Below are 22,683 nucleotides of genomic sequence, written 5' to 3' on the forward strand. Positions count from 1 at the left end.
ACTCAAAGTAGACCACAGACGTAAACTATAAAACTTTTAGGAAAAAATAAAGGAGAAAATCTTTGGGATCTAGAGCAAGATGAAGATATCTTAGATTCAATACCAAAAGCACCATCCATAAAAGGAAAAATGGAAGAAATGGATTTCATCAAAATGGAAAGCTTTCATTCTGTGAAAGATTGCCTTAAAGGGATGAACAACAAGCCATAAACTGCGAGGAAATATCTGCAACTCACTTGCCTGACAAAGAACTAGTGTCTAGACTACACAAAGAACTCTCAAAACTTATCAGCAAAAACAAACAATTAAATCAGAAATGGGCAAAAGACACAAAGACTTTTCAGAGAAGACGATACATGGATATATGGATAGGCACATGATAAGATGCTAAACTATATTAGTCATTCAGGAAATGCAAATGAAAACCACACGAGGTACCATATGAGTCCACACATCACGGAATGGCTGTTGTGAAAAGCAGTGGCCACAATAAAGGCTGAGAAGGGCCCGGGTGGGTCCCTCATGCCTTGTCTGAGAGGTGGAACAGTGCAGCCACTCTGGAGGGATGTTTATTATTAAACTAAACGTGATTACAATGCAAACCACCAATTAAACTCTTGGGCATTTACCCCAGAGGGCATGGAAATTTATGTTCACACAGAAAATTTGTAGTGATGTTTATAGCAGCTGCGTTCATATGAGCCCCAAACTGGAATCCGCCCAGATGTTCTTTCACAGGTTAATGCTTAGACGAATTGCAATGTGGCTTATTGTGGAATACTACTCAGCAATGAAAAGGAACGAAATATGAATGAATGCAAGACCTGGATGAGTGTGTGAAGAATTATGCTGAGTGAAAAGACATGATTCCAAATACATACTGCATGATTGCATTTATATAATATTTATGAAATATCAACATTATAGAAATGGAGAACAGACCAGTGGCCACCAGATATTAAAGTTATGGGGAGTGGGGTTGGAAGGTGGCTGCATGGTCATCAAGGGGCCCTGTGGGATGGGTGATCTGTGTCCTGACAGTGCAGGTGGGCACACAACCTACACCTGGGATAAAATTACATGGAGCTAAACAAACGCAAGTACAATTAAAACTGGGGAAACGTGAGCGAGCCAGGGGATTGTCAATGCCTGTCTGTCTGTGAGGCGTTGTGCTCCGGCTCTTCAAGGTATAACTACTGAGGGACACTGGGCACAGGTACATGGGCTCTTTCTGTACTATGTCCTAGAACGCTGTGAATCTACAATTGTCAGAACTAAAAGCTTAAACATGCACTTACACTCACACGAAGTTCTGGGCCTCACGCCAAACCTACAAATCTGTACTCTTGGGAAGGGAAGCTACAGTGTCTGCTCCACATGCTGCTCAGGGGTTCTGCAAAGGACCCAGCCTGACATGTCACAGATAGTGTCCATGAACCTCCGTGGACACAGAGTCCTCTACCGGGGGGTCCCTCCTCATGAGAACATCCCGAACGCTGGGGCCATGACAACTTCATGCCGCACCTCTCTTCACCTCTTCATGAGGACTTCCGACTGCACGCCTAACACTTTGCTTCCGCTCCTGCACCCCAAGTGTATTCTATGCTCTCACCTCCTATGTTTTAGCTGTTTGGGGCGAGGGTTCATATCCTCACGTTCCAGCAGCACTCCTGCATGTACTGGATAATTCTGATGTTTTCCTAGGGAGGGACTGAGTAGCACTCCCGCATGTAACTCACTGCAAACAGTTTGGGTGAAATGTAAAGTGGAATTGGAAGCTGACTTCCTCCATATTTAAATATTTCTGTCACTCAGGAAAAGAAATAAGAAAAGTATTCAAAACGGGACAAGACCCCGGGACCCCATCTGTTTTTCCAGCTCCGCCTTCCTCCTCCATGGAGACTGTTCACCAGGCGGTTGTGAGACAGCCCCTGAAGTCCTCCCACATCTTTCTTGTACTAGAGACTCAAGCTTCCTTCTCAGTCCTGGGAGAAGGAAGACCATGTGGGACGGAGGAAAGCACTGGGCACCTGCACTTCTGAAAACAGATGCCTAAGAGCCATCGACTGCCATTAGAATATCCGCACCTGAGAACAAGCTGTTCATTCTGGAGGTGAATTAATCATCCCAAAGCCCGGGACATAGTGATTCTCCTGTTTAAACTCCTAACGCCTCAGAATATAGTTTCTCTAAGTTTACAATACTTGCTTTGCTGAGATAGTTTACTAATCAACTCTCTCACAGGAAACCATTCGAATCGAAGAGAGAAGGCAATAAAAAGTTAAAACAGTAGATATGTAAACAGTAAGATACTCTTATCTTGGAAAACTGAATGCAAGTGAATTTGACCATTCCCCCCATACTTGGTAAAACTTACCCATTTTGGTGTCTTGTCCACAGAGTGAAACACACAGAGAACAGGAAGTCACTATCTTCAGCTTTACTGTGCTGCTAGGAACTTTGCAGCACACAAGGCTGAGCCGATTTTAACTCACTAATTATGATGCTCTGGGGAAGTGCCTTGGTAACTGACTGAGTCCCTCACTAGGAAAACATCAGAACTATCCAATAACTCCAGGTGGGCACCCATGGAGGGGCAAAAGTGTAACTGCTGAACTATCTGAACCATTCTGTGACGTGGGCAAACTGAGAAGGGTGATCTGGCAGGAAAGGCGAGACCCCACGAGGGAGATGACCCTGTGCTAATTCCGTTTCTGTCACTGTCTTTCTATGAACTCTGAAAAGTAACCATTTCTGTCACTGTTTTTATATGAACTTGGGAAAGTAACTTTTCTCTGGATCCCAACATGAAATTTGACTATTTTTATAAAAGCCGAGGAAGATGGAGGAGGAAATGAGCAGAAGAAAAAGAAGAAAAACAGGAAGCACAAGAATGTTAAACCCATAGGGCTCCTTCCCACAACACAGTGCCTCCTCACAGCTCAGCGTCTCCTCACAGCGCCTCCCCATGGCACGGCGCCTCCCGACGGCACGGCGCCTCTGGTAGCACAGCCCCTCCTCACTGCCCAGCGCCTCCCCACGGCCCAGCGCCTCCCCACGGCCCAGCGCCTCCCCACGGCCCAGCGCCTCCCCACTGCCCAGCGCCTCCCCACGGCACAGCGCCTCCCCACTGCCCAGCGCCTCCCCACTGCCCAGCGCCTCCCCACTGCCCAGCGCCTCCCCACGGCACAGCGCCTCCCCACGGCCCAGCGCCTCCCCACGGCCCAGCGCCTCCCCACTGCCCAGCGCCTCCCCACGGCACAGCGCCTCCCCACTGCCCAGCGCCTCCCCACTGCCCAGCGCCTCCCCACTGCACAGCGCCTCCTCACTGCACAGCGCCTCCCCACGGCACAGCGCCTCACTGCACAGCGCCTCCTCACTGCACAGTGCCTCGTCACAGTTTAGTGCCTGCCCACAGTTCAGCGCCTCCCCAAGGCACAGCGCCTCCTCACAGTTCAGCGCCTCCCCACGGCACAGCACCTCCTCACTGCCCAGCGCCTCCTCACTGCACAGCGCCTCCTCACTGCCCAGCGCCTCCCCACGGCACAGCACCTCCTCACTGCACAGCGCCTCCTCACTGCACAGCGCCTCCTCACGGCCCAGCGCCTCCCCACGGCACAGCGCCTCCCCACTGCACAGCGCCTCCCCACTGCCCAGCGCCTCCCCACTGCCCAGCGCCTCCCCACGGCCCAGCGCCTCCTCACTGCACAGCGCCTCCTCACTGCACAGCGCCTCCTCACTGCCCAGCGCCTCCCCATGGCACAGCGCCTCCTCACTGCCCAGCGCCTCCTCACGGCCCAGCGCCTCCTCACTGCACAGCGCCTCCTCACTGCACAGCGCCTCCTCACTGCCCAGCGCCTCCCCACGGCACAGCGCCTCCTCACTGCCCAGCGCCTCCGCACTGCACAGCGCCTCCTCACTGCACAGCGCCTCGTCACAGTTTAGTGCCTACCCACAGTTCAGCACCTCCCACGGCACAGCGCCTCACTGCACAGCGCCTCCTCACAGCTCAGCGCCTCCCCACAGCACAGCGCCTCCTCACAGTTCAGCATCTCCTCACAGCTCAGCACCTCACAGCTCAGTGCCTCCTCACAGCTCAGCGCCTCCTCACAGCTCAGCGCCTCCTCACAGCTCAGCGCCTCCTCACAGTTCAGCATCTCCTCACAGCACAGCACCTCCTCACAGTTCAGTGTCTCACCAGTACTCAGCGCCTCCTCACAGCGCCTCCCCACAGCAAGGCGCCTCCGCATTCTGGGGGCACGGATTGCAGGGAAGTTGCACTGGAGGAAATGACATGCGAGGAAGCCTTACAGTAACCCAGTCGGGAAATGGTGGGACCCACATGAAGCAGCTCAGCAGGCGTGGAGAGGCAGCGCAGGCTCCGGAAATGTTGAAATAGAGGAGTCAGTGTGTGTTGGAAGGACAACACCCATGACGTGGAGATGAGCGATTGTGGCGGCACAGGGACCCCTCTATGGGAGGCAAGGAGGGATTCTGGAACCCCTGACTGTAGTCAACGAAGGGCAGCATCCAGGAAATTGGCAGTTAACAGCAGTGGAGGGTGGAAGGGATAGGACTGCAAAATGGCATTGGCCTCGAAGAAAGGCTCTTAAGGGTGGAAAAGTGGGTTTAGAAGTTGTGTTAGGGAATTGGTAGACACCACGCCAATGTGATGAAATGAGCAGACACTACCTGAAAATCAACCACGTAACGTTCAGTTATTCCATTCAAACCCGCGTCCTGTTTTTTTTTCTTGAACAGTGCAAACATTATTACATACTTCAATTATTCTTATCATCATATTTTGCAGACATTCCTGGAGCGGGACAGCCTCCTGGGAGTGTTTACAGAACAGAGGGGATGGGATTATGCCAGCGTAAAAATCCCCCTCCAGAGCTTGGCATGTAAAACTTCGATTTCATTTTGCTTACCAAGAAGCAGTACAAGGCCAAGCGTAGTGGCTCATATCTGTAACCCCAGCACTTTGAGATGTATGAGGCAGGAGGATTACTTGGGCCCAGGGATTTGAGACCAGGCTGGGCAACATAGTGAGACACCCGACTCTACAAAAATAGAAAAAATAACTGGTCATGGTGGTGTGTGTCTGCAGTCCCAGCCACTTGGGAGGCTGAGGTGGGAGAATCACCTGAACACAGGTGGGAAAGTCAAGGCTGCAGTGAGCCATGATTGCACCACTGCACTCCAGCTGGGGTGACAGAACAAGACCCTGTCTTAAAAAAAAAAAAAAAAAAAAAAAAAGCAGGTCTGCAGAAGTTAGTTGCTGTGCTAATTTATGACATATCTGGTTCAGACACACTGCTCTGATTAAATATGAAGTTCACACCCCAGTGTGGGCAGCCTGTGGCAGGTATGCAGATAAAGGATTTAACAAAGCACTGCGATATTACATTTCAGCACGACAGAGAGCATCTCGGCAGCTGTCTGCATTCTGTGCCTGCTGCCAGTTGAGATGTGAAAATTGTCAGACTATTTCTAAATGGAAATCTAGGCATTCACAGTAATGAACATGTGAATAAAAAAATAAAAACCTCTACTGTTAAATTTGTTCCAGTGATTCTTAAGAGTTTAAATGATTAAATCTCTAAAAATGTATCCCTTGTTTAAGCTCTTTCAGACCAGAAGCAGGATGCCCTGACCTTTTGAAATTCTGAACCCACTGTCCATGTGCGAAGGCTGTGGCCTGACCTGGCTGGGTGCCTGAGTCACACCCAGGGCGCCTGGGTTCTGTAGAAAATGTCTTTAGGCTGAGTGTCTTGGTCTCCTGACCCTTGCTGGGATCCAGGTGGTGGTTTCTGCCCCATCAGCTCCCCTGCACTTGGCTGCTCCATCTGGGTCCTCTAGTGGGTGTTGGTCTAGAGGGTTCATTAATCCCTCCGCCTCCCTGATGGCTGCTTTTAAGATCTGTTTATTCGATGGTGTGGGACAAACAACATCCCTGCCAGGCACTGGTCCCTGATTCTGGAGCCGCGAACCACCTGGGGGCTTGGTTTGTTCTGGGAAATAGGACTGGACAGAAGCGTTTGTAAGAGTGGGCGGGACCAGGCAGGGGTGGTTATCCCGATTTGCTGATGCTCCTCATGAAGGCTCCGGACCAGGGGCTGTGAATCAGGGCCTCAGAACTACTAAAGCCAGGTAGAAGAAGTGCCTTTTTTTTTTTTTTTTTTTTTTTTTCTCTTAAACACATTTAGATAGGACGGGAATGTTTTCCAGGGCTGGATGACCTGTTCAATGATGCATTATCTCTTCCCTTGCATGGTATTTTATGATTTTGGATATTTCTATGACAGTAGGGAATACCTGGATAATCAGTGAATTTTGCCCACGTTCTTTTGTGTGTAAGGGTGGTAATAGAGACTTCTTCCCAAGGAGGGCTGAGTCAGGGTCGATTCAGCCATGGGCCGTCCTAGGGTGTTGGCAGGCATCTGAGAGGCAGCAGGTAGAGGATGTGCAGCTGTGAGCCTTTCCCGGCTTAGGCTGGCCATGGTCATGGCCTCAGGGCACCATGCTTGGAGCTGGTGACCTTCGATTGCATGATATGCACCCCAAGTACTTTAGAGCATTCTCTCCACATTTGCATGCTCACTCATTTATAGAGGATCTATAAATCACTCTATTAATTTGTAAAACATATACAAAAATATAAATTTAAAATGATGAGATATGCTCAGACAGGAATAAAGATGAATTTCCTCAACCTGATAAACAGCATCTACAAAACTCCCACAGTCAACACCATGTGAAATGGGGAAATGCTGGGCTTGTCCCCTGAGAGCAGAACTGGGGCAAAGATGTTGGCTCTCACCAGTGCTGATGGTTCTACTCAACGTTGCACTGAAGGTTCCAGATGAAATGCTTAAACCCTTAGAAGAAAGCACAGAAGTAAATCTTTGTGCTCTTGCTTTAGGCAACGATTCATTAGCTAGGACACCAAAAGCACAAGTCATGAAAAGAAAAAATAGATAAATTGGGCTTCATCAGAATAAAAAAGTTTGGTACTTTAAAGGACACCATTAAGAAAATGAAAAGACAACCCACAGAATGGGAGAAAATATTTGTAAGTCATATATCTGATGAGGCACTGATAAGACATTCTCCTATGTCTGATAATGGTATGATATACCCGAATACATAATAACATTTTATAACTCAGCAATAAGTAGGCCCAAATAAAAATAGATCAAGGATTAGAATACATATTTCTCCAAAGAAGACATAGAAATGGCAAATGGTACATTAAAAGATGCTCAATATCATTAATACTTAGAGAAATTAAAATCAAAACTACAATGAGACACCATTTCACACCCACTAGGATGGCTACAATCAGAAAGATAATAACAAGTGTTGACAAGGATGTGGAGAAATTGGAACCCTCATACATTTCTGATGGGATTCAAAATGATGCAACCAGCTTGGAAATTTCTCAAAATGTTAAATACATTTTAACTCATCAATCCTACTGCCAAGTATATACCCAAGAGAAATAAAAACATATATCTACATAAAACCACATATTCAAGTGTTCACAGTGGCAATATTCATAATAGACAAAAAGTAGAAATGACCCAAATGTTGGATGGATCAGCTGACAAATGGATAAATGAGATTCTGGACATCCATACAGTGGAATATTACTCAGCTATAAAAAGAAATGAAGTTCTGACGTATGCCACACCCTAAAGACACCAAACTTAGAGAAGCCAGACACAAATGCTCACTTATGTGTGATTCTATTTACCTGAAATGTCCAGAATAGGCAAATCATAGAGACAGAAAGATCAGTGGTTGCTAGGGGCCAGGGGAGGGGAAAATGCTAACAGGTTTGTTGTGAGGTCAGAAAAATGTTCCAAAATTCCTATCCAAAGATAAGAATGATGGTTGCAGAACACTGTGAATATAGTAAAGACCTTTGAATTGTACTTTAAAGGGTGATTTTTATGGTATCTGATTTATAGCCCAATTAAGTTGTTATAAAAATGCTGAGATCAAAGTATCAGTAAAAGTTCTAGATTTTTTTCCTTTACCTCAGTGAATCATCTACATATCGCACACTTTGAAGACTTTAACACACTACACTAGTGAATTCTGGACCCATGTATTTGGAATTATTCAGAGAGCTTTTAGGGTTTTTCAGAGATTTCCTTCCCCATGGTATGGTGGTGGCTATTTGAACAGTTTGGGAAATTTTCAGAAAAGATACTCCTGCAGTTGTCAGATTGGCTGCAACACTTGGCTTTGGTTGACAGGGCTCAGGGTGCCATCTGCCATTTTCTTCAGTCATATTCATCCGAAGAAGTCGAAGTCTTAAATCTGCAAAGCAGGCAAGAATGGACACACTTGCTGGGTGTGGTGGCTCACGCCTGTAATCCCAACACTTTGAGAAGCTGAAGCAGGCAGACTGCCTGAGCCCAGGAATTTTAGAGTGGCCTGGACAACATAATGAGACCTCATCTCCACAAAACAATAAAAAATTAGCCAGGTGCGGTGGTGGACGTCTATAGTCCCAGCTACATGGGGGGCTGAAGTAGGGACAGAAGTGGGAGGTTTGCTTGAGCCCGGGAGGTTGAGGCTGCAGTGAGCTGGTGTTGCACCACTGCATTCCAGTCTGGGTGATGGAGTGAGACCTTGTCTCAGAAAAAAAAAAAAAATAAATAAAAAATAAAAGAGTAGATAGACTGGCTAACTAGCATCAGTTTTGTTTTTTTTTTTTTTGCCATCGAACAGGTGTTAAATATCTTTTGTTGATTAAAAATATTACAGTAAAGAATGGCATATTTTTGATATTTTGAGTTGAGAATTCAAAAGTCTTCCAGAAAGCACAAGACGTTGGCCCCCTGACCTCAGAGGAGAGACACATCAAAGAGAATTCCCCATGTGCAGGACTGGAGACTTCCAATGTCCCTCCCACTCTAAGTTGTAATTCTGATCTGTGATGGCATCTGTCCAATAGAGACACCACTACTGGTTAATTTGATTAATTCAGATGAGATATATCAATTTATTTGAGGAAAAACCCCAAAGCTTCATGTGATTTGTTTGACTAAATTGTCTAATTGATTAAGTTGTAAGAATTTCTCTGATTACATTGGAAGCAGAGTTACCGTTTTCCCTCTCTCTAGATTTTGAGTTGTCCATTTTTCCCCATCCCCGCAATCAATGGGAGAGACAACTTGTGTTGATGGTGGCAGAGCCAGCGATCTGACAACCTTCCTCTGTTAGCCCAGATTTCTGGTCTCCAGCCCTCTCCTGCTATTGAGTTTTGACTCCAATTGCAAGTGGCCATCTCAGAACACAAATCCCTCAGCTCATAAGAGAAAAGTGCTTGATCCGTTTCTTATTCAATTGCCAAGATCATTTCATGTGCCCCAGACTTGGCTGAGTTAACTCGATTTCTACTAGCTTTTCTCCTGGTTTTGATTAACTTTGATGCCATAATTGCTTAGTTTGGAGTCATCTGATGTTACACAATCTTTAGGCACCTAGTGATGCTTTGCTGGGAAGAAGCTGTGGTCTCAATGTGTGCCAGACCCTCTACCTTTGTCTACCATGGCCCTGTGAGCTGGGTGCCCTTACCATCCAAATTTTCTGCAGCACAGTGGGTCACTTGCTGAAAGAAGGCCTCACAGGGAGAGCCAGGGTTCAGATCCTGAGTTGGGCTCCCAGGTCCAGGACCTCAACCACCACATGAAACTGCCTCTCTGTGCTCAGATGGGCCCCACTTAATTTTGAGGGTATTTTTTAGTCTCTAGAGGTAATTTTCCTTACACCTCAGCACACTGTTTTTCTCATCATATTAATACATGATACCTGTAATAGGCAAAGTGTGTATGTGTAACAGAAAATTTTGTACAGAAAAAGCATGCAGAAAGGAGGCTGGGGAAAGAGACGATGATGATTTATCAACTGCAGACCTCAAAGTCCAATAAAATGAAAAGGAAGCAGCAGCCCGTGAGCTACTATCTGTGGGGCCGATGGTGAGAGGAGCCGTCTGAGGTGGGATTGCCTGTGCCCTCGGTTCATCCAACTTACCTGTAATGCCACAGGGATGCTAATTCCTAGGGACAAAAAGGCAGCCCAAACCTAAAACACAATTCCTGCTTCCTTTGCTACCCAGACTGATGAAATACAAACCTCTCAAAGAAAACAGACATCAAGCACCCCAGTGGTCTTTTTACAAACGCCCGTAGCCCCATTATAGAAATGCTTACACGGCAGGTTACTCAGACAGGCCGGAACAACTAGACTGGACACACAATGAAGGTTATTTCTGCCAAGGTGTGTCTTTAACTTTTCAGGTAGGCAGTAGGCAGGGGCCATGGCAAGACGCAGACTCATGGGCAGAGGCCGGAGGCTGTTTTGTGTTTCCTGGAGCAGCGGTACGGCGGGAAACATGGAAGAAGCGGCGGGGTGGCCTAGGTGAGTGTTTAGTAATCTCCAGAAAGTGGAATAATTAATTTGTTAACTAATGACATTCGTATGGAAGAGATCAGGCCGCGGCTTTTGGTCGAATACATTTGAAAATATTTTATCAAACGCCCTGCTTGCTGTGACTGTCAAGTGCCATGAGCAGCGATGTCTAAAGCTGTCATTGTGAGGCTCGTGGACTCCTCACTGTGCTTCCTACAGAGAAATATGCTTCCAGAGAGTAGGAATATTTCTCCACACGTGGGTGCACACACATGTGCAAGTGTTTGTATATAATAAATACATTTATAGTGTATTGCATGTTTATATGTGTACATATATATAAATGCATTTATTATCATTCGTATCTGCAAATCTGGCTACTCACATGTAGGTTCCTTGGTCAAGATTTATAACTTTAATAGATGAATCTTTAAGATTGCAAGGCCGATTATTTTCTGTGTTATTTGAAGTTTTCCTTTTACAAATAAAGTTTCTTCAAGAAGTCAACAATATTTGTATAGAGTTAAAATTAGCCTCTTATTTTAATGTTTGATTTTTTTAAAGGGTGTGTAACGTCTTTGTGAAGCACCTGTGTGTAGCTGGGCCATTGCTGCAAAGGGTCCTCACTTCTGGGACTGGAGCTGGTCCTCATTCCTCAGTGCTTTGACAAAACCCTCAGTGCATCTCCAGAATGGCACCAGAAGATTAACTGTCATTATTTGTCCTCACTTCAAACTCTTCCCAGAGCTTAATTCTAACATTTTATCATGACTAAAAATCATGTGGGGCCCTTGTTAAAAGTGCAGCCCAAGATAGTATGGTTTGGTAGCTCTGGGTTAAGTGCCCAGGAGCTACATTTTAAACATGACACCCAGCCAAGTCTTACGTGTGTGCGTTACAATTCAAACTGTGAGGTCTTCTCAGGGGCAATGGGTTTGTCTTATTTGTCTCTGTGTGTTCCAGCTACCTGCGCCTGGGGCAGATAGTACTTATTGAGGATGTCTGTGAGATGAATGGATGGATGGAGGGAGGGAATGATGGAAGGAGGGATGGAGGGTGGGAGGGATGGATAGAAGGATGGAGGAAAGAATGGAGGAATGGATGGAGGGAGATATGCAGGGATGGAGGGAGGGATGAAGGGAGAGATGGAAGAAAGGATGAAGGGAAGGCTGGAAGGAGGGATGAAGGGAGAAAAGGATAGAGGGGTGGATGACGGAAGGGATGGAGGGAAGGATGGAGGGAGAAATAGAGGAAGGGATGGGTAAACAGGGAAGAAGGGTGGGGGGTGAAGGAATGGGGGAAGGGTAGAAGGACAGATGGATGGATGGATGGATGGAGGGTTGGAGGGAGGAAATGATGGAGAGAGGGGTGGAAAGATGGATAAGGGATGGAAACCTGTCTCCTGGCAGGAAGGCTTGACTGCTTGCAAGCCACTGGTTGGGCTATAACAAACTTGGGCCATCATTTATATCTTTTCTAAAACCTGAGGAACATTTTGACATGTCTTAAATAAGGATAAGTGAGTCCCATCCTAAATAGGAAATACTCTGTCACTTTTCTCTGATTTCAAAAGCCATCAAAGCAGAATGTGCACATCCCGATTACCTCATTGTTTCTGCACCAGCTCACTGCCAGGCTTATCCTGCTTGGCACATGCAAATTAGAGAGATGCCTGCGTTACAGACCCGCTGCAATCCCCGTGTCTTCACACTGAATTTGGAATTGAATAGTGCTAAATGGGTCTTCACATTTGGCTTTGGTGGTTAATTTGACCATGCATAGCATGTTTTCATATTTCTTCATGACAAATGTAAACATAATTAGCTCTTATTCAAAAATAATTTGGTTGTAGAATGCAGTGATTTCTAAACATGTCCTCCATTTTAAGAAACTCTAATATGCAAACATTCGAATTCATGGAGTGCATAAATTCAGCATCTATTCTTCTCACAGTGATTCTTGGCTTTGGGCTTCACTGCAGGAGGCCTACAAACAATGGGATCCTGTAACGCATTTAAGATGTTACCCACTTGGCAATAATTGGATGACTCTTTAAGGAATGTAGTAGCACCTCCATTAAAGCAATTATCTTGTTATTGTGTGGCTATTTCCATATCTGTTTCTCTGGTTCACTGTTTCTTAATAAATGTTATCCTGTTTATCTTTGTTTCCTCAGTGTCTTAAATACCCGGTTCCTAATCAATGCTTTAGGCATTTAAGGGTATTCTCACACATCTCTGTATCTCTCAACACTTCTGAAGCATCATGGGAAACCCACCCCTCATATTTAGGAAATGAACATCCTTACAGTTAGGCAGATCATCCTGTATTATGATGTACGAGTACCACATAGCCATGGGAGGAAAATGAAGGGTTTAAAGACTCCTTGGATATTTCTTCATATTATAAAATAAGAATGACCTTTGCAACTCTACTTAGGTTCAGCTGCTTGTGAATTATGAGGGGTTCCTCAAGGAATAGACATTTCCTAGAGCCTCCTCACCCTCAGAAGACCACAAAACTTCTCTGCAGAAAGTGTTACGCTTTCTTAGTCCACTGAGGACTCCCTGTGTCAGGTGAAGTTTTATTATTGTCCTTAGCATTGAAAGAATTGCTTGCAGGATGTTTCAGCTCATTTCTTTCCATCGTCGTTGGTGATTCTCAGTGGTGGTAACCTTTACAGTGCATGTGTGGTCTCCCCCTCTGCTCCGATTCCTGACTCTTTTCTTCTTTTCCATCTAAACAGAGTACACAGCTCTGCCACAGATAATGAGTCCAGATAGCCAAAAATCAACGGACAGGAGATTAATGGACTGGGTTATTTTATAACTAATCCAAATAAAGATTTTTCCCTTTTTTACTTAAAGATTTCTGTGTGTGTGTGTGTGTGTGTGTGTGTGTGTTTTAGATATAACCAAGAATGAACTTTTCCAAAGGTCACTTAATTACTAGGGGAAAATAGAAAGTGGTCCAGATAGTGCATGTTTATAAGCATGTGGTGTATGTGTGCACTTGCCTCCATATTAAATTTTTGGGCCAAATAATCAAGTATTAGGAAACACAAAATACCCAGAGTGATTCTCACTCAGGATTTAGACTCTAACGGCAAGCTCTAATGGCTCACCTGCATGGACTGCAATCAGAGAAGGTGCACACTCACCTTAGATGGCAGGCTGGGCTCAACTACACCAAATGCTGGGCATCCCACTGAGTAGTCCAGCTTTTCAGAGTGGTTGGTGTCAGTGATGCCATTGAAATGCTCAAGAAATGAGCTGAAACATCCTGCAAACAATTCTTCCATGGTAAGGACTACAATAAAACTTCAGCTGACACAGGGAGGCCTCAGCAGACCGAGAAAGTGTAATTTTTTCTGGAGAGAAGTTTTGTGGTCTTCTGAGGGTAAGCAGGTGCATGCGCCGGGGTTACCCATCCCTCCCACCGAGGCCTCATATCACCTCAACTTTACCCTGGGGCTGGAGTGCAGGGATTAGAATAAAATTTCTGATACCCATTGTTTCATTTAGCCACTCCAATTATTGATACGATTTTACTATATTGATTTTATTGCATTTAATTCCCATTTCAAATACCAGGAGAAAAGGAATTGGGTCATAAAATCTTTAAGATATTTGGTCAGACTATAAAAGGGGGTGCCATTAATTCACAAAGAGGAGAAGTCATAGGATTTGCTTCCCAGGTCTTGGCCCAGCCCAGCCTTCTTCACCTCGTGCACACTATACACACTGGATGCTCTGCTGAAGTTGTGTTGTCACCTGGGACTGACACGTGCTTCTCATGGCATCATTTAATACTGTCATGGTGCTTTGCAAAATGGGGTAGAATCATTGGAGAAAATCATCATGGCTGAAAATAAAAGCATCTATTTTACATGAGAAACATTCACTGAAGCTAGTCCATGTGGAAGGAACTTTGAGGAAGAACTACATTGCCCAAACTCTACAGACAGTTCGTTAAAAATAGGGAGTGTCTTAAGGAATGTGGCAGGCATTTCTCCTTTTATTCATGCTGGCAGACTGATAAGTGTTTAACCGAACATAGCTTCAGAGCTTCAGCCCAAATGCTTAAATTCACTCAACCAAAAGCTCAACTGTCTTGGGCCGCACAGTTTCAGTGGACTGTTCCCAGTTCACTGAGTCTGGTCCATAATAACTACATTGCAGATAAACTTCATTTTTGAAACCATTTTTCCCCATTTCCAATTTCTCTTCTTCAGATCCCTATCATATAAAATTCTCAGTTTTAACTATTTCCTCAAAAACAATCCTGTAGAGGCAAAATGCTGAAACAAGAAAACCAGGCCACCTAGTCAAGTGAGGTGTTGTTTAGAATGACGCAGGGTTTTAAAATGGCAAGAATTCTCTATTTAGGTTGGCCTCAAACATGGACCAGCTAGTTCTCAATTAGGCAATTTCTGTCTGTTTCATAAATGAATCTAAAACATGAATGGAAATGGTGGCTCCTACGTGGGCCAGCTCACAGCCCCAGCCTTAGGTCACCCCCCGACATTTTGGCATGGTGGATAGAGAGGTGGAGGAAGGATTTCTAGGCTGAAAGAAGACAAATCTGCCCCTTCTTCTCCATCAGCCACCAGGTTCCAGGTTCTGGAAACAGGGCGGTGGGTGGGCTGTCTGCTTCCTTGCATGGGCTGGAGGGCAGGGTGGCTGTGAGCTCACTCACCCCAACATTTGTCTCATTCCCAGCAGCTCCGGACCTTGAGGGCTGATCTTCCCAACTCTTCTCCACATTCCAACACCAGCAGCCTCGGCTGGGTCTCATACTCTGGATTCAAAGCATCGCTTCTCTTGAGAGGCTTTCCTTATTTTGGTTGGATAGGATGTATCTTTCCAAGTTTCAGACAGTGTTTCCTGTCTGTTGGGTTTCTCCTCCCTGGACCCCACACTAGCCGGGTTGCTCGGCCACGCCCTGTGCTGAGCCGAGATGTCTTCCTGCCACGCCTGTAGCTGAGCATGGACCCCACAGCCCAGCATAGCCTCTTCTCAGGTTAACCCTGCCCCATGGAAAGGGTGGGTCAAATCTGCAGTTTTCAGAGCTGGCAACATGGTGACCACGATTCACACATGGCTAAGTGCATCCTGCACCTTGCATTGACCCGAAGTCTACGGGACTAAGGAGAAGCCATTTTGTTTTGGGTCCCATTCCTGCCAACTGCACTTTTAGGGGAGGAGTCACTCAGAGCCTTCGTTTCATTCATGTAATAGGTTGTGAGGAGGTGGAGACAAACTCTGGCTGTATTTTTACTGTTTTCACTTTCATCTTGCCTCTCACATCCCTACGTTTGCTCTGATTACAGAAGGGATTAAAAACAGATAAACAAAATCAAACAACACCAAACACAGCATAAATATCAACCCATCCAGGCTGCAGTGGATTCTTGCCAAACTTTGAAAATTCTCCAAGTCAATACTCCCATTAGAAAAGAGCTTTTCTGGCCATGAAAAGCTGAGCAGCAGCGATCTGCAGAGGGAGCGGGTGTGGGGCTGCTCTGGCCCCTGCTCTGAAGCCCCACTGGGAGCTCAGAGGATGAAGAAACATCCATCGATAGCAGGTGCCAGCCCACCCGTGACCAAGTGCAGACTTTCAAAAAGGAATGCATTCCCAACAATATGACACAGAAGGTTTGGAATAACTGCTTTTGATAGAAGTTTTGACGGTTTTGAAGCTACTCTCACAGCAGCACTCCTGCATTCTGGCTTGGTGTCTCCAGAGGGGCAGGGGTGGGCTCACAGCTGGGGGTGGGCAGTGGAGAGGGAACATGCCACACCTGTGATTATCAACTTTCCTGTATGCTGTGGCCCCAGACAGCCTAGAGCCACGTGGGTCCGGAATTGAATCAGCACCCACCAGAGAACCACGTGCCCCACAGCGGCAATAACCGGCATCCACCAGAGAACCACGCGCCCCACAGTGGCAATAACCAGCATCCACCAGAGAACCACACACCCCACAGCGGCAATAACCGGCATCCACCAGAGAACCACGCGCCCCACAGCGGCAATAACCAGCATCCACCAGAGAACCACACACCCCACAGCGGCAATAACCGGCATCCACCAGAGAACCACACACCCCACAGCGGCAATAACCGGCATCCACCAGAGAACCACGCGCCCCACAGCGGCAATAACCGGCATCCACCAGAGAACCACACGCCCCACAGTGGCAATAACCGGCATCCACCAGAGAACCACGTGCCCCACAGCGGCAATAACCGGCATCCACCAGAGAACCACACGCCCCACAGCGGCAATAACCGGCATCCACCAGAGAACCACGTGCCCCACAGCGGCAATAACCGGCATCCACCAGAGAACCACACGCCCCACAGCGGCAATAACCGGCATCCACCAGAGAACCACGTGCCCCACAGCGGCAATAACCGGCATCCACCAGAGAACCACACACCCCACAGCGGCAATAACCGGCATCCACCAGAGAACCACGTGCCCCACAGTGGCAATAACCGGCATCCACCAGAGAACCACGCGCCCCACAGCGGCAATAACCAGCATCCACCAGAGAACCACGTGCCCCACAGCGGCGATAACCAGCATCCACCAGAGAACCACGCGCCCCACAGCGGCAATAACCAGCATCCACCAGAGAACCACACACCCCACAGTGGCAATAACCAGCATCCACCAGAGAACCACGCGCCCCACAGCGGCAATAACCAGCATCCACCAGAGAACAAAGTGTCCCGCAGTGGTGATAATCAGCATCAGGCAGAGAACCACATGCCCCAAAGCAGTGATAACCAGCATCCACCAGAGAACCCTGTGCCCCACATCGGCAATAACCAGCATCCACCAGAGAACCACGTGCCCCACAGCGGCGATAACTGGCATCCACCACAGAACAAAGTGTCCTACAGTGGTGATAATCATCATCAGGCAGAGAACCACATGCCCCAAAGCAGTGATAACCAGCATCCACCAGAGAACCATGTGCCCCACAGCGGCAATAACCAGCATCCACCAGAGAACCACGTGCCCCACAGTGGCAATAACCAGCATCCACCAGAGAACCACATGCCCCACAGCGGCAATAACCAGCATCCACCAGAGAACCACGTGCCCCACAGTGGCAATAACCAGCATCCACCAGAGAACAACGTGCCCTGCAACGGCGATAATCAGCATCAGCCAGAGAACCACATGCCCCACAGCGGCAATAACCAGCATCCACCAGAGAACGACGCACCCCACAGCGGCAATAACCGGCATCCACCAGAGAACCACGTGCCCCACAGTGGCAATAACCAGCATCCACCAGAGAACCACATGCCCCACAGCGGCAATAACAAGCATCCACCAGAGAACCACGTGCCCCACAGTGGCAATAACCAGCATCCACCAGAGAACCACGCGCCCCACAGCGGCAATAACCAGCATCCACCAGAGAACAACGTGCCCTGCAACGGCGATAATCAGCATCAGCTAGAGAACCACATGCCCCACAGCGGGGATAACCAGCATCCACCAGGGAACCACGTGCCCCACAGCGGCGATAACCAGCATCCACCAGAGAACAAAGTGTCCCTCAGTGGTGATAATCAGCATCAGCCAGAGAACCACGTGCCCCAAAGCAGTGATAACCAGCATCCACCAGAGAACCAACTGCCCCACAGCAGCGATAACCAGCATCCACCAGAGAACAAAGTGCCCCGCAGTGGCGATTTCCTTCAGGCGGAATGGGGCTCTTTTGTGATAACTTTTTCCTGAGCCACTTTCACCCTCTCACTCTTCTTTCTGATGTGTGCACCCCAGGCTCATTGATCATGGTATTGCTACATTTTCTTTCAGCCAGGTTTTGTCTGGAATTTAGTCAGAACTATGCTGCAGCTGTGCAGGAATGTGTGGTTGGCTGGCAGTGCCCACATCTTGGGGTGTCCCAACCTCCTGCTCACTCTCAAAGATGGGCAGTTACAGTGAAGACAGTGAGAGTCAAATCCAGCTTTTCATGAATTTTTAACCCTCTGCCTGGATGTCCCATTTTATCATTAAAACCACCCTGTGATAGACCCCCTTCCTCAGCTTCCCCATGCCATGGAGAAGGCTGAGGCAAGTCCCTCAAACACACACATGGCCCCACAGAACCAGGACTGACACCAACAGGGCCTTGACTCTGAGGCCTCTGCCCAACTACCATGCACGCCGCTTGGTTGTCTGCTCACATTAAACATTACAGCATCGAGAAACATTCAGGGAACAGTGACTCCTGACTCCTGCAGTCTTCTTCAGGTGGCCATTCCTAGGGAGAAGGAGGAGCTTTGGGAAGCCAGTCTTTCCCTCTCTCCTCCTCTTGGAGATCGCAGACCCATGGGAGGAGAGTACCCTGAGATGCTCTCAGACATGGGTGGGGTGGGGGTGGAAAGTCTCAGCCTCATCCAGCCCTGCCTGTGATGGGCTAGCACTTGAGGACATCAGCAGCACTCTGGCTCTGAGTTAGGAAACCTACCGCCCCAATCGTTCAGCCACCTTTTCTGCATCTTTGTCCACCTGACTGTATTGCAATGGGGTGACAAGCTGATTAGGAAAAGAGGTCTTTTGCTGTGATCAGTTCTCATCTTCTCTCCCACATTTATTACTCTTTTTAGTTAGTCCTTTTTTTGAACACAAGTCTCCTCCCTGCATCTCAAAAACAAGAGCCTTGTTTGTGAATCACATAAGAAAGTGATCTCCAAATTGGGGAATGCACAAAAGTTGGAGAAAAATGTTGGAACTTCAACTTAAGAGACTTGTATGATAAAAAATGCTTTTGCAGACACAAGAACAGGGTGTGGTCATGACCTGCTGGTTCCCAACAACACAAGGAGAAAGAATGGAGCATAAAAGACAGATCTAGGGTGAAGAGAAATGAGATCTATACACAAGACATGAAGTTAGTCAGGGCTTTTCTGACATTGGAAGTCATAGGAAGCCTGTACATAAAAACCAGGTTTTCAAACAACCCCATAAAAAAGTGGGCAAAGGACATGCACAGACACCTCTCAAAAGAAGACATCCATGCAGTCAATAAGCATATGAAAAAAAGCTCAACATCACTGATCATTAGAGAAATGCAAATCAAAACCACAATGAGATACCATCTCACAGCCGTCAGAATGGCTAGTACTAAAAAGTCCAAAAATAACAGATGCTGGCGAGAAAAAAGAATGGAATGTAAATTAGCTCAGTGGGAATGAGCTAGTGGGAATGTAGATTAGCTCGGCCATTGTGGAAAGCAATTTGGCAAATTCTCAAAGAACTTAAAACAGAACTACCATCTGACCCAGCAACCCCATTACTGGGTATATACCCAAAGGAATATAAATTGTTCTACCATAGACACACAGGCACGCGCATGTCCATCGCAGCACTATTCACAATTGCAAAGTCATGGAATCAACCTAAATGCCCATCCATTGTGGACTGGATACAGAAAATATGCTACATATACACCATGGAATACTATGCAGCCATAAAGAAGAACCAGATCATGTCTTCTGCAGGAACATGGATGGAGCTGGAAGCCCTTATCCTAAGCAAACTAATGCAGGAAAAGAAAGCCAAATATCCATGTTCTCACTTATATGTGGGAGCGAAACACTGGGCACCTATGGCCACAAATGGGGGAGCAACAGATACTGGGAACTACTTGAGGGTGAAGGGTGGGAGGAGGGTGAGGACTGAAAATCCACCTCTCGGGCACTGTGCTAATCACATGGGTAACAAAACAATCTGTACACCAAACCCCCACAACACACAATTTACCCATATAGCAAACCTGCACATGTACCCTTGAACCTAAAATAAGAGTTAAAAAAACTCAGGTTGTGCAGGAGGCATCTGTGTGATTGAGCAGGGCTGGGTCCTCCTAATCATGGCTCTCCCACCTGTGGCCGTGAGTCCTCACCCAAGCCACCTGCCTCACAGGATTTGGGTCCCATTTCTGTAAGATAACGGACAGGGTCAATGTTTCTAAAATTCTACCGGCATCCGATTTACTCATCAAACCATCAGACCAAGCTACAAGGCAGGGAAATAGGTTCCTTTGTTCAGCAGCGAGAGGACTCAGTCAAGGTCATGTGTGAACTCTTGGAGCCTGCGTGGCCGTCGCGGCAATGACCTGGTGAGAAGGTGATGCCTCAGCATGCCCAAAGCTGCATGGCAGGAGAAGGAAGGGCTCAGAATATTTTTCCTGGTGTTGTTTGGGAATAACCCTGCCTTTAGTAAAGAATTAAAGTTACACTTACAGAGGGAAGGTAAAAGGCAAGAATTGTCACAAAGCATAAATGGGCGCTGAACGCTGAGTATAAGAGGGGAGACGCCTGGGCAGGTGACCTGACCCGCCAGGCCGCTGCAGGAGGCCGACCCCAGCACCCTTCTGGCAGCCACAGGGAGTCGCACACGGACCCCATGCCTTTCACAGACTGTTTCCCAGGAGGCAAAATGTCAGCAACTGGTGCTAGGAGGGTGGTCAGAGTGAAAGCCGTGGACATGGCTGTGACTTCTGGGACGGGCACGGCGAGGCACTCTCACACACACTGTACTGTGGGGCCCCAAATAAACCAGGAGGTTGGCGTCAGCACCCACATTCTATGAATGGGCAGGAGAGGAGCCCTCAGCCTGGCTGTGCTGGGGGTTGGGCCAGGCCCACACCCGTGTGCCCGCTGTTTCTCCATGTGGCCTTCATTGTGTTTCCGAGCTCCGTGCATAATGTCCTCCCCGGCCAAGAAATAAAACAGACTGTGGGACTTGGTGGCACCAAAGAGGCAGGTGGCCCCCTCAGGGAACACAGCTGCCCAGAAGGGCACATGGAGGAAACCGCCGCAGCCTGGCAGGTGAGCCAGGAGGGCACGTGGAGGGAACCGCCGCAGCCTCGGGTGTGAGCCAGGAGGGCACGTGGAGGAAACCGCCGCAGCCTGGGGGGTGAGGATGCTTCACTCTTATGCCAGACCCACCTGTCACGGTGGTCCCCCCTCACGAGGCCTCGTCAGACCCAGAATGGTGTCAGCATGGGCTGGACTGCACAGTCCAGGGACTCTTTCATGGGCCAATGCCCTCTGACCTTAGAGGTGCTCAGAGAAGCTCCCTCCTTTGGAAACCCTGGCTGCTCCGCAGGTGAGGTTGCTCAGAGTCTGCATATGTTGCTCCGGACACCCAGCTGGCAAGAGGCAGAGCCAGGCTCAAGTCCACATCCTCCAGCTTCCCAGAAGGCTTTCCTTTGGTTCCATCAGAATGGACACACCAGGACCTTTTCGGCACCCTGTGGACACTCCTGTGACCACAGTTGTCAGAGCTCAACTGACCCCATGTCCTCCTGCCCTTGGGAACTGAGCCAGCCCAGCCTCATGCACACGGCTCTGCTGGTGACCTGGATTCCCATCTGGGGAGCTGGCTGGACAGAAGGGCTGCTGCTGTGTTTCCCCCCGTGACTCTGATAGTGAGGACAGCACCCCTTCTTTTTTGAGGGACAGGACAAGAATTGTAGGGTCATGTACAGAATCCACATGGACGCATGACTCTGCCCCTTTCAGTCTATTCTTAGCATTTGAATTCCTGTTTCTTGGCATTGAAATCCAGAACAACTTTGCATGGATGCTGCAGGCCGACACGTGTGCTTGATGGAAGGATATTCACTTAGATTTCTCAGTTTAGATAACTGAATAAAGCCTCCACACCAAACCCTGCAACCTGAGAGCCATTTTACTAAACACTTTTCATTTTACTAAAATCATCACAAATGAACCGTGGTTAAGGCAAAAGAGAGACTGCCGGCAGAGGATGCCTTCCACCACTGTGTGTATTATCATCATGATCAGAAGGAAAATGCCCTGTATTTTTTTAAAGACCCATTCACACTTAGTGTTTGTATAGTAACTGTTGTTCTGTTCGCCTTTAATTTTGAATACTTGAGTGAATTCACAATTCCACCGTGTGCATTAATTTAGAAAAATGCATTTTAAAAACCTTTAATCGTGGTGCCGTTGTTACAAACTCTCATTCCACTTTATTACTCCCCATGCACCGACAGGGTCTCAGATGTATGGGTGAGAGAGTGGCCAGAATGTGGCAGTGAAGGAGATGGGGCTTGAGATTGGGAATAACGAGTTCGTCTCTCACCAACCGCGAGAACCCCTCAGCCCCTCAGTTCCTGCCCCTCTTGTGGGTGCTGTGAACACAGGTGCCCTCCAACTCTGGGGACCTGAGGTTGTCACCGCGCTTTACTTAA

At 47.7% G+C, this 22,683-nt stretch overlaps 1 protein-coding gene across 1 annotated transcript in view, besides 1 other annotated feature; it reads right to left on the bottom strand.

Annotated features, from left to right (window-relative positions):
* ADARB2 (adenosine deaminase RNA specific B2 (inactive)) overlaps positions 1-22,683 on the bottom strand; it is a 560,213-nt gene that overhangs the window by 146,450 nt on the left and 391,080 nt on the right. The window lies entirely within an intron of this gene.
* Positions 20,492-21,175: an enhancer, noted in NCBI's record as "H3K4me1 hESC enhancer chr10:1386449-1387132 (GRCh37/hg19 assembly coordinates)". NCBI's record gives its function as "activates a minimal SCP1, AML or CMV promoter by ChIP-STARR-seq in naive H9 embryonic stem cells {active_cell/tissue: H9 hESC(naive)}" and the evidence as "EXISTENCE:reporter gene assay evidence [ECO:0000049][PMID:30033119]".

The sequence above is a fragment of the Homo sapiens genome, chromosome 10 (assembly GCF_000001405.40).
Source record: "Homo sapiens chromosome 10, GRCh38.p14 Primary Assembly".
Taxonomy (NCBI): Eukaryota; Metazoa; Chordata; class Mammalia; order Primates; family Hominidae; genus Homo; species Homo sapiens.